We start from the raw sequence: 12,575 nt of genomic DNA on the forward strand, positions 1-12,575 counted from the left end.
CATGATTTTCAGGGCAGTTGTTTGGCAGACTGCTACATTAAGGCTTAAACCAGTTGAAGAACTTTATTCTTCAAAGATACTTGCATTTCAACAAGGAAGGAAGCTTTTAAGGAAGAGAAAAACAACCCTCATTGTGGTTTTAGTAAGCATTAAGGGGAGGACATGAATTCAGCTTATATGTGCCTGGAATCCCATCACAAAGCTACATAGTAACAAAGCTTCTGAGAAAGGCAGTATCTTATCAATGTCATATTTTTTCTTTCTTTCTGTGTTTTACATTTGATTTTTTTTAACGTTTTGTTTTTTAGCCGTGCTATCAAGACTAATCAGGACCTTCTCCCAGAAACTCCATGGACGCACATTTTCTACAATGATTTTTGGGGGACTCTTCTAACCCACAGTGGCAGCCACAAGTCCTACCGGCCACTCTGCACTCTTTCTTTTCGCCTGAACCATGCCATTGGAGGGTTGAATCCCTGGAGCTACCATCTTGTCAATGTCCTGTTGCATGCAGCAGTCACTGGTCTCTTCACAAGCTTCTCCAAGATCCTCCTTGGTGATGGATACTGGACATTCATGGCTGGCTTGATGTTTGCTTCTCACCCCATTCACACGGAGGCAGTGGCAGGAATCGTGGGACGAGCCGATGTCGGGGCCAGTCTCTTCTTTCTCCTCTCCTTGCTCTGCTACATTAAACACTGTTCTACAAGAGGCTACTCAGCCAGAACCTGGGGCTGGTTCCTGGGGTCAGGACTGTGCGCAGGATGCAGCATGTTGTGGAAGGAACAAGGAGTGACTGTTCTCGCAGTTTCAGCAGTTTATGATGTCTTTGTCTTTCACAGGCTGAAAATAAAACAGATATTACCTACCATTTACAAAGTAAGTGATTGTTGGCTCTTGAGCATTGGATTACTGAGTAATCTACTTGCTTACTCCTTTGCCACCATTTAAAAAGCAAATTTATTCCTCTGCAAGCGGAATTTAAAATAAGTTCCTTTTTGATCTTCAGTAAGTGGAAGTGTCCTTTTGACCTTTGTACTAAGCAGGGTTTTAGTCACTGATTGTTTTATTTCTCTGGTTTCTTACTTTCATGATTTCAAGGGTGGTAGAAGAATAATTTTGCCTTGTAAAGAATATGCACCTTTATTATTTATTGAGTTCTTATTTCTATATTTCTGCACAAATTGTCTATAATCTGATAAATTGTCTATAACGTGTATTTGTAAAAAATAACACGGCTGATAATAGAGCTAGATGCTAGACTTTACAGGGGAAATCCTCTGCCATTTGTTAATATTACTTTTCCTGAGTTGACTTTGGAAAACAATCCTTCCCTTTAGTGCACTGGGAAGTCAAATTCTTAAACAATGAATCATACTCACCTTTTTCTCGTGATAGTGCATAAGAATAGAAAAGTCAAAACAGAAAATGGTTATTATTGAGTTTCTCCCTGTGGCCAATTAAGACCTTTGCCTTAGGGCATATTTGTTCTCCCGTATTCCCTTAGTGGTATCCAGTACAAAGTTGTTTGAAGGCCACAGAAGCATTTTAGGATCCCCATACACTTGAAGAGACTGAGCAGTTTTCTGCTAGAGCATTAAGGAGAGGCATTGAGCGGACGGGGCATCTTGAGAAATTGTCTGCCTTCCCATCTCCCCATCCTCCTTCACTCAGAATAAACTCACCGTTGCTTTGACTTTGGCGTGAAGACGGAACTGGGCCAGGGTTTGCCAACTTTGGTCATGTTTTAGGCAGGCTCCCGCCTATCTTTTGGATACAAGTGAGGAATTAAGGTTTTGGATACTTTGCTATGAGGAAACTGTCAAGTTTTCCTAGTTTTGACTACTTTTTCACCATCGATTTCTAATTTTATTTAAAATTGAGAAGAAATTTAAAAACAAATTGAGGCAAATGCTGTTCGAAACATCAATTTTTTTAAATGCCCTTTTTTTTTTTTCCTCTTAAGAGTCAGAGTGATCTCTGCTGTGCTTTTTCTCTGCTGGAAACCTAACCTTTTCACTTAGAGTATTAAGGGCTTAATGAAGTTCTTTTGTGATTTCAATTAAATGCTGAAACTTTAAAAGAAACTCTGGTTAGAGTTTGATGCTTGAAAACAACATATGGTTTGAAAGTCAAGCTCTTAATTTCAAATCAATTTTAATTCTTTCAAAGAGATTTAGAGAGAGTAATTGTTTTCATCTAACCCAATGTCATCGACAATAGCAAACTTTGTTTTATTAGAAGTACAACTAGGAGAAGTGTAATTCCTGCTCTTTGTCCTTAGGGAGGTTATGATGTATTTGAGGATGCAGGCTTAGTGCTGGCTGTTTCAGGACCTTGCATTAGTCGCCTGTGAAATATTGTGATTTTTTTTTTTTTTTTTTTGACGCGGAGTCTCACACTGTCGCCAGGCTGGAGTGCAGTGGCGCCATCTCGGCTCACTGCAACCTCCGCCCCCCAGGTTCAAGCAATTCTCCTGCCTCAGCCTCCCAAGTAGCTGGGACTACAGGCACATGCCACCATGCTCAGCTAATTTTTGTATTTTTAGTAGAGATGGGGTTTCACCATATTGGCCAGGATGGTCTCGATCTCTTGACCTCGTGATCTGCCCGCCTTGGCCTCCCAAAGTGCTGGGATTACAGGTGTGAGCCACCGCACCCGGTTGTGATTTCTTTTACAGAATTTCCATCTTACCATCTCATAAGTTAGGGAATTATTTGGCTATGATGATTCAGGATTTACTTGCAGGACCTTACGAAGTTCTCTGAGAAATTTACAGTCCTCTAAGCATATTTTCAAGGGCAGAGTTGCCCACTGCAGTACTCCTTCCTAGAAATATGTTCTATACAATATTTGGGACATACTTATAATAGAAAATTAATCTTTGTTTCTCTGAAATTGAAATTTATCTGGGCATCCTGTATTTTATTTGTCAACCTTATTCATGTAACAGCTGCTTCAAAAATAAGAAATGCCACTAGCAAGGAACTCTTGAGACTAAAGAGTGTGAAGTTCCCCATGTTAAGAGAAAGGACTTAATACTGTTGAAGGTTCAGTGTCCTGAGAAGTTTCCAGATGGCTCTTTGCCCAGACTCTCTTGGCGACCACCACTTGCAGGGCTAGGCAATGGCAGCAGCAAGGGTAGTGGTCGGGGGCAGCAAGACTTTGTCTGATATTTGCTATTCTATCGTAGCTCTTTCTGTCATTCTTAGGTTTGGGGCCAATGAGCTTAATAAGAACATTGGAGATAACACATTTTATAGATTTTTGTTGTTGTTGTTGTTGTTTTTGAGACCGAGTCTTGCCCTGTCGCCTAGGCTGGAGTGCAGTGGCACGATCTCAGCTCACTGCAACCTCTGCCTCCCGGGTTCAAGCGACTCTTCTGCCCCAGCCTCCTGAGTATCTGGGATTACAGGCATGCGTCACCAGGCCTGGCTAATTTTTGTATTTTTAGTAGAGGCCAGGTTTCACCATGTTGGCCAGGATGGTCTTGATCTCCTGACCTTGTGATCCGCCCGCCTCAGCCTCCCAAAGTGCTGGGATTACAGGCGTGAACTACCACGTCCAGCCCATTTTATAGATTTTTAAGGACCTGTAGGATCATCTTTGCCACTCTCTTCATTTCCATCTGGGGTGTGGAGAGCCAGAGATGTGTAGGTAACACAGAAAATGATGGAATCACTAGGACTGAAGCACACATCTCTGACTATCTGGTGATATCTTTACTACACTCTGATAGTTTGAGGAACAAATATAGGTAAAGTCAATTGACTGCCCAGTAGAAAGGAAACTAATATGGAATAGAATCTTAACTCAACTTGGGCTGATTCCATGATCTGTTTCTTCATCTGGAAATGAAGGCAGCTATAGTTCTCTCCCAGAGTTGTGAGGCTTATTTGAAATTGTGGGGGTGTTCAGTGTGAGCTGAAGTGTCCAGTATTTGGATGATACCTAATACATATTAGTTGAAGTGAAAGAAGAAATGTCGATGGAAATTTTGATTCTTTATCTTTTGGCCTCTGCCTTCTTAAGGTGAACTGCCAGTAGTCTCTACACATAGAGTTGTTTGACAGCATGTGAAATAAGGACTGCTTAGTAATTGACCAAAGCTGAAGTAAACAGATTTAAGCACAAACTTTCATTTAAAATCTCATGCTTGTGAAGCTTGTAAACACTGACATAGAATCCATATGAAAGTTATAGAAAATTCCATATTCTGTCTGTAAAATATATAGATTTCTATGCCTGGGGTGAGTTAGAGGAGATTCTTTCTGAAGGAAGTAGTCTGAAAGGCTTTAGAAGATCCATTCAACCTTAAAAAATAATCATCTTAAATATCTTGCCAATTAACTCTGCATCCTAGTTATCATGGTTTGCCAGATGAGATAAACTTCCTTGCTCTGTTAAAACATAACTTATATACAAATGGAAAACTGCAGTATACAAATGTTTAACCCTGTTACTCAAATTAGAGAACAAGCTAAGTAATGAAAACCTAAAAATGGTGGCCCACTTAAAGCTGGAAATTATTAAGGCCAGAGGGGCAAGGCTCTTGGCTGAATTTGGCCAGTTTTGATTGCAGTTTACCTTTGTCTTAGGTGTTGCTTAAGCTTGATTCTACATCCGGATGTAGTGATCAGACCAAAGCTAACAACCCCATACTTCCAAACCATTTACGGAATTTGTCTTGAGAATGATTTCTGAGAATGGGAGTTTATATTCTGTTAAAGAATTTTGGTTAATCACCAAAAATGTTACAAGACTCATGCAAATGATGTGCATGTCATCAGACTTTTGCAGTTTTGCAAAGGAAATATGAAAGTTATATTTTTATTTGATAAAATATATGGGAAATAGTAAGTTCTTGGCATGTAGTAGATATTTTATTTAGTATTTAATGAACAGTGTTTATATCTGCCAAGCACTATTCTTAGTGTGCTAAAGATGTTAACTTATTTAGCTTATGTAACAAATGCTCGTTGAGATAAGTAATATGACTTACAAAATAATATGGTTGAATGCTGTCAAACTATAATTTTGTCAGTAGTTAATTTTGTCAGAAAACATTAAGTATAAAATCTTCAGAAGTATGAATAAAAATCAGTGTTTTAGAGTAGTCTTAGTTCTTAGCTTCAGGATTTAGTTTAATATATTTCTTACATTATCCTTGTCCTTCACCATACATCTGGCTTATAGTAGGAACTTAGTAAATTATTGAATTCACACTTAATATTTACCTTTTTAAAATATGTGGCTGAAATGTTAAAGTGAACTCCTGTACTCTCCCCTTTATACAATGAGAATTTCATTCCTGAGTTAGTGGGGTCTGGAAGGTAGGGTTGGAAGACATGTATGTCAGAAAATAAATTTTCTTGACCTCTCACTAAATGATTGTTTTAGCATTACTTAGATTACTTTCACTCACTTAGTTTTATGTGGTCAAAAAATAAGGGGGGAAAAGCCCTTGAAATACACTTAGCCTTGCAAATACATACTAGACTTTTATCTGCCCACAAAATTTTTTACAAGCCTCTCATGACCCCAGGAAGTACATGGGTAATAAAATCAGTAAAAGCAACATTTTTCTTGCCCAACGTCAGTCATTGCTTGCCTAGTGGCCATTTTCTGTGCTTATTTAACATCTGTTAACTGTTTTAATGTGGAAACATCTCTTTCCCCTTTATTAGCCTCATAACCACTTATTCAGTTACAGGTGGAAAATTTTAAAAATCTGAAAGTCAATGTAGCAATACTAATACTAACACAAGATAGTTTAGAAAAATGAAGCCCTTTTAGTTTGATGTTTTTAAAATTTCTCTAAAGATGATTACCTTGGTTTTGCTAAAGTTTATGTAGTTGGTTCCAAGATGTGCATTATCTAGGTAATCTCTTTTTCTTAAAATTAAATTTTGTGACTCTGTTTCAATAAATAATATTGTTATATGGGAAAATTGGAGACATTGAGATTTTCCAGTCATCTCTTTCTAGAAATAATTTTCTTGTTTTAATGCTAAGCAGAAAGTGAATGATGGAGGTTGCCCATGGGCAATGAAGTTTACCTTTGTCTTATGTGTTGCTTAACTTGATTCTACATCCAGATAATAGTGTTCAGATCAAAACTAACAACCCCATATTTCCAAACCATTTATAGTAGGGTTTATCTTGAGAATAATTTCTGAGGGTGGGAGTTTATATTCTATTAAAGATTTTTGGTTCATCACTGTCTGAACACTAAAGGTATTGAATGTAGTGTTTCTGTACTTCTGACTATTTTGTGTGGCTTTCTCTATAGAGAAGAGCATGCGAATAGAGATGCATAGCCTGCAGGTGTTTGCATATTGAATCCACATGTGCTTTTTCCGTTAGTTGCTGGGGATGGCTTTGATGGAATCTGTTATCATTTATGGCATTGTCCCTTTTGTTTCTAGACTAGGTTGTGGTTTTGCCTAAGTTGTGACCCCCCCCCAATATCAATTGCATTGAATGAAATATGATATATTTACCGTTTGTGATTTTCCATACTCAACACCTGTGCCACTCTCCTCCAAGTAGTATTCCCACTTTTATGACCCCCTTTCCTTTCATTTGCCTTACACTTGACTTTGCGAGAATCCAGATGTAGCAAGATGCTCTGATTCTGATCACAATATTTCTTAGCTTTATTGAAACTGTAGGGCTGTTTGTTAGGCCCTTACGAATGAATTTGGATTTCCTCCCAGTAAACTTGTGGCATTTAATATTCATGACCTGTAGTACTATAAAACTTTGAACAGCTGCCAACACTGCTAACCAGATAATACCACAAATAAAGTCAATGTTCAAAAATATTTTACGATTCAAAAAGTCAAAGATTAATAAGATATTGTATTCCTGCAGGCTGGCTCCCTTGTTCAGCTGATTTAAGGTGATTCTGTATTCCAGTTGCAGTTTAAGTTCAAGTTAAGTAATTTAAATTTGGGAGTCTGACTACCATTGCAAGCATCTATAATGCCTGCATTACACTGTTAATACTTGGAACAACGATCTATTCACAAATTATCATTAAAAAAATTCATCTTTGTGCCAAGCGCTATAGTAGGCGATGTGGGGATTCAAAGAGGAATCAAAAGGAACATGCCAATATGCCAGGACTTTATAGAGTAGTATGAAGTCGAGAATAGTGCATGTAAATATAGAATTGAAATTCAAGCTGGGAAGTGGTGAGGGTTATAAGGGAGCCATTGAGAATGGTGGGGGAGTTGAGAGGAAGGGGAGGTTACTTTTGGTTGAGGGGATCAAGAAATGCCTTCTGGAGCAGAGACATTTGAGTAGAACCTTGCAGGGTAAAGATACAGGCATTTGTAACTGGAGAGGTGAGGAAGAGTAAAGGGTACAGCATGAGCATTACACAGAGGAAAACTCACAGAAAATTACTGGGTACCATGGAGCAGTTGTTTTGGCAGATACACAGAGGACATGGGTGATAGAGGAAAATGAGTCAGGTAGGGTAGATTGAGACCACCTGGTATGTATAGTGATATCGGGGCCTTCTGTGCTATATTGTGGCTCCCAAAATGTTGGGAAACAATGCATGGTTTCAAAATGTGCTCCTACTTTTGCTTGTCCATGGAAGGAGCCTAGGGATACGCAGGTCAGCTCCGTGTAGCCACTCGGGAGTCGGGGGTGAGGGGAGGGGGGAACTATCCCATCTGTCTCCTAAATCTGAGGGAGGGTTCCTTTGGTGATGAACTGAAAATCCTCCTGAAAGCTAGAGTTGAAGTTTTATATCTCATTCATATCAGTGTATGTCACATTCTTTTTTTTTTTTTTTTTTTTTTGAGAGACGGAGTCTCTGTCTGTCGCCACGCTGGAGTGCAGTGGCGCAATCTTGGCTCACTGCAACCTCCGCCTCCCGGGTTCCAGCGATTCACCTACCTCAGCCTCCCGAGTAGCTGGGACTACAGGCACACACCACCATGCCCAGCTAATTTTTTGTATTTTTAGTAGAGATGGGGCTTCACCATGTTGGCCAGGATGGTCTTGATCTCTTGACCTTGTGATCCGCCCGCCTTGGCCTCCCAACATGCTGGGATTACAGGCGTGAGCCACCGCGCCCGGCCTACATTTTTTATCATTAAATAAAAAACGTTTATTTTTGGAAGACTAATGTTATTGTACTTTTTACTGAATAATATTTGGCATATTATTCTACAGTCCTCATAAGAAAAATGGAGGTCTTTAAAAGCTTTCTCAGCTGGGTGCAGTGGCTCACGCCTGTAATCCCAGCACTTTGAGAGGCCAGGGCAGGCAGATCACGAGATCAGGAGTTTGAGACCAGCCTGTCCAACATGGTGAAATCCTGTCTCTACTAAAAATACAAAAAAAAAAAAAAAAATAGCTGGGCAAGGTGGAGGGGTGCCTGTAATCCCAGCTACTCGGGAGGCTGAGGCAGGAGAATCGCTTGGACCCAGGAAGGCAGAGGTGGCAGTGAGCTGAGATCGCGTCGCTGCACTCCAGTCTGGACAACAAGAGCAAGACTCCGATAAAGAGTCAAGACCCATCACTGTGCTGTATTCAGGAAACCCATGTCACGTGCAGAGACACACATAGGCTCAGAATAAAGGGATGGAGGAAGATCTACCAAGCAAATGGAAAACAAAAAATGACAGGGGTTGCAATCCTAGTCTCTGATAAAACAGGCTTTAAACCAACAAAGATCAAAAGAGACAAAGAAGGCCATTACATAATGGTAAAGGGATCAATTCAACAAGAAGAGCTAACTATCCTAAATATATATGTACCCAATACAGGAGCACCCAAATTCATAAAGCAAGTCCTTAGAGACCTACAAAGAGACTTAGACTCCCACACAATAATAATGGGAGACTTTAACACCCCACTGTCAACATTAGACAGATCAACGAGACAGGAAATTAACAAGGTTATCCAGGAATTGAACTCAGCTCTGCACCAAGCGGACCTAATAGACATCTACAGAACTCTTCACCCCAAATCAACAGAATATACATTCTTCCCAGCACCACACCGCACTTATTCCAAAATTGACCACATAGTTGGAAGTAAAGCACTCCTCAGCAAATGTAAAAGAACAGAAATTATAACAAACTGTCTCTCAGACCACAGTGCAATCAAACTAGAACTCAGGATTAAGAAACTCACTCAAAACCACTCAACTACATGGAAACAGAACAACCTGCTCCTGAATGACTACTGGGTACATAACGAAATGAAGGCAGAAATAAAGATGTTCTTTGAAACCAATGAGAACAAAGACACAGCATACCAGAATCTCTGGGACACATTTAAAGCAGTGTGTAGAGGGAAATTTATAGCACGAAATGCCCTCAAGAGAAAGCAGGAAAGATCTAAAATTGACACCCTAACATCACAATTAAAAGAACTAGAGAAGCAAGAGCCAACACATTCAAAAGCTAGCAGAAGGCAAGAAATAACTAAGATCAGAGCAGAACTGAAGGAGATAGAGACACAAAAAAAACCCTTGAAAAAATCAATGAATCCAGGAGCTGGTTTTTTGAAAAGATCAAAAAAAAAAAAAAAAAAACAAAAAACTTTCTTTCTCCTGTGTCCCTTCTCCCAACCTTGATGAACAATGTTCAGATATTACTGTGAATGGCTACAAGTACAAAATACCTCTTTGTTTTGGACTGTTTCATACAGGAAGATAGAAAAAACATTTTTTAAAGGGTCCTTTTTACAGTACAGCATGAAATATTCTATCAGCACTGAATTTCAACCAGTTAACTCAATACTCCGTCAGTGAAAATGACACGCAAATTGGATCTTGTGATGAATAAATAATGAGTCTCATTGAAATCTTCTATGCTATTCTCATAACACTGTGTCTGGGATGCATATTACATCACTCAGCTCAATTTTCGATACCTGCTGCCTGGGGGAATCAAATTGACTGAGGGGGATCCGATGGATATCAGGTTACTCATACTCAAGCCAGTATTTTCAATTCACAGAAAATGATGTGGTTTGCACAAATTTGAAATCCATTGTCATTACCTAGAAGTTCAGTTCCTATCTTAAATGCTTAGAATGGTGGAAATGATAACTTATTGTTGATTTATCGAATGAAATTTTATAGAAAGCCAGATTCCATGAGTACATTAGAGATTCCTTAAAAGGCATGAATGGGGTGGTGTAGAAAAAACTGACTTATGTCAAATGCATTGATGGTTCAAATACATTTGAAAGGTGATACTATGGTAAGGTTGCATAGGATTATAAGTTTTATTTTATTTTAAACAATCAGATTTTGTACTTAATGGTCATAGTATTTCTTTCTTCAAAAAGGATAATAAGAAACCAAAAGGGAAGAATAGCATCTTCGAAGTCAGTGATGATTTGGTGGTAGGAAGGTCAGTGTGCCCTTGTTCTCTGGGTTTGTCTTTACAATGCTGCAGTACCCAGATGGCTCCTGTATGCTCTGTTGGTCTGATTATAACTCTTGCATCAAGAGAAATAGCATGAATTCCGAATTTAATACATGTTTCTTCAGTAATTATGGTCTTGATTAGTGAAGTCAGTTTCCGTTCCAAAGGACAATTTCTTTCTTTCTCTATGTGTTGATTCACTTAATTTCAGGAATCAAATAAAATGCAGAGATCATAGTATTTCTCTTTGTTGTGATGGGGGATCTGTGTTGTCTGTGTTTTGGTATGTGGTTGTCAATTTTGCTTATGATTACTGTAAATTAAAGAAAACAGTACAGATAACATGGGGAAAATGAAGAACACCTAAAAAATAAATGACTTAGTTCCTACTTAAGGGAGCACATGGAAAATATATCCTGAATTCCCATCAAACTGTTGCTAAATATAAAGTACAAATAAGTACTTTTAATATAGAGACCTTGATTATATGCAATATCAGTTGTGGATATTTAAACATAATTCAATTTTGTGTATTTAAGAACTGAAAAAAAGATTATACCAAGGTTTCACATGAATGATTTCAGTACATTTCCATAACTTTTATAAAATGGAAAACTCAAAGTTACATGAAAACCTTATTTCTCCTAATTTCAAGATTCAAGTAAAAATTTGCCCATTTATATGATCCACTATATGTAGTCTCTTCTTAAGCTCTCATGACATATTGTAATAAAAGCTAAATATATTTAATATTGTGAAAAGAACTGCTGTTTACTTTGAATAACTATTTGGTATTTGGCTAATCTTTTCACGCAGAGATGCTTATAAGTCTATCGGGGAAAGGCCATTGGACTGGTGCCTGCAGATTTAGATTTAAATAGAAACTCGGTCATTTTCTAGCTGTGTGACCTTGGGGAAATTTCTAAACTTCTTTGAACATCAGTTAAATGCCCTGTAAAATCAGGGATATAATATCTTCGCTGTTTTGTGTTAAGTATGAATATAGTAAATGTGTACTCTTTTGCCACGTCCCTGTCTTATAGCAGGTATCATCATTGTCAGCATTCTATGGCATTTTTGTAGCATTTTCAGTAATGGTGATCTTTTTATCTGTCATTTTATGGAGCACTCAATTAGCATGGCTGCGGCTATTCTAGAACCATATAGAGTAGTTAATGGAATGCATGCTGAACTGTCAATCAGCAAAGAATGGAATGCTTGCTATCCTGTTCACCAGTGCTGATAATTGAAAGAAAGCTGAGGAAAAGCCTTTTTCAAGGTTAATTCTTCTGAACAACATGATTTGATAATTTATCTTTTGTTTGATTGAGATTGATAACAAGTACATATGCCAGTTTTCCTCCATTGGTAATATCTTGCCATCATCATCATCTCATACTTTCAGAGCCTGCTTTCTTTTCCCCTTTGGGCTCAGGAGGGTGCTGTTAGTTATATATCTGAAAATGGAGGGGAGACAGGTTTTTCTGTTTTTCTCCCCAAACCACCCTGTTTCCCATATATTTTCTTTTAGCAAGGTTTATTGTAGGGAGCAGTAGTTCAGTAACTGCAATAGCTTGCAGGTTCAAGTCTCTCTCTTTTTTTTTTTTTTTGAAAAAAAAAGGGAGGCACTATTATCATCTAAAGGTTATTCTTCCCCAACCTGGCAGGCAATGTTGTTGCAGCTGATCCCAGAATCTCTATATAATAAACCTTTTCAGGGAAACGTTGAGTCTGGCTTTGTTGTTGTTGTTGTTGTTCAGTGGTTTATTTTCTCACCTCCTGGAGCGACAACAGGAGGCAGAAAATTTTGTCTTTAAAGCAATACGGTTTTCTGGCTGCCAAAAATATTTCATGAACTATTTTGGACAACTTAATAACACTCAGACCAAATTATTTTTACAGAATCCTATATCTTGGTAACTTTGGCTTACTGAGACAAATCTATAGATAAAATTGGTTTTGGATTTCAGAAAATTCAATACATAAAAATATGATTTACTTGACAGATGATAGATACATGGGGCGAGTGGCAGGGGTGACCATTTACTTTAAGAAAACTTGAGGATTCGTCATGAGTTTTCTTTGAGTACACCAAACTTGGATGATCATCAGCTGCTCATGGGGAAATTATTTTAGACTAGAGATGACAGCACAAAACTGGAAGCTACCGAA

The 12,575-nt window shown here is 38.4% G+C and overlaps 1 protein-coding gene across 6 annotated transcripts in view, besides 1 other annotated feature; it reads left to right on the top strand.

The window, feature by feature from the left end:
• Positions 1 to 12,575, top strand: part of TMTC2 (transmembrane O-mannosyltransferase targeting cadherins 2) — a 447,961-nt gene that overhangs the window by 169,796 nt on the left and 265,590 nt on the right. For 5 of the 6 annotated variants that reach the window (XM_017018884.3, NM_152588.3, XM_047428396.1 and 2 more), the window contains one exon: positions 309 to 879. The exons of the other annotated variant lie outside the window; for it this stretch is intronic. In XM_017018884.3, coding sequence (XP_016874373.1) covers positions 577 to 879 — 303 coding nt within the window. In that variant the 5' untranslated portion in view covers positions 309 to 576. The remainder of the gene's footprint in view (positions 1 to 308; positions 880 to 12,575) is intronic. 6 annotated transcript variants of the gene reach the window in all.
• Positions 1,055 to 2,032: an enhancer, noted in NCBI's record as "OCT4-NANOG-H3K27ac-H3K4me1 hESC enhancer chr12:83251535-83252512 (GRCh37/hg19 assembly coordinates)". NCBI's record gives its function as "activates a minimal SCP1, AML or CMV promoter by ChIP-STARR-seq in naive H9 embryonic stem cells {active_cell/tissue: H9 hESC(naive)}" and the evidence as "EXISTENCE:reporter gene assay evidence [ECO:0000049][PMID:30033119]".

The sequence above is a fragment of the Homo sapiens genome, chromosome 12 (genome assembly GCF_000001405.40).
Source record: "Homo sapiens chromosome 12, GRCh38.p14 Primary Assembly".
Taxonomy (NCBI): domain Eukaryota; kingdom Metazoa; phylum Chordata; class Mammalia; order Primates; family Hominidae; genus Homo; species Homo sapiens.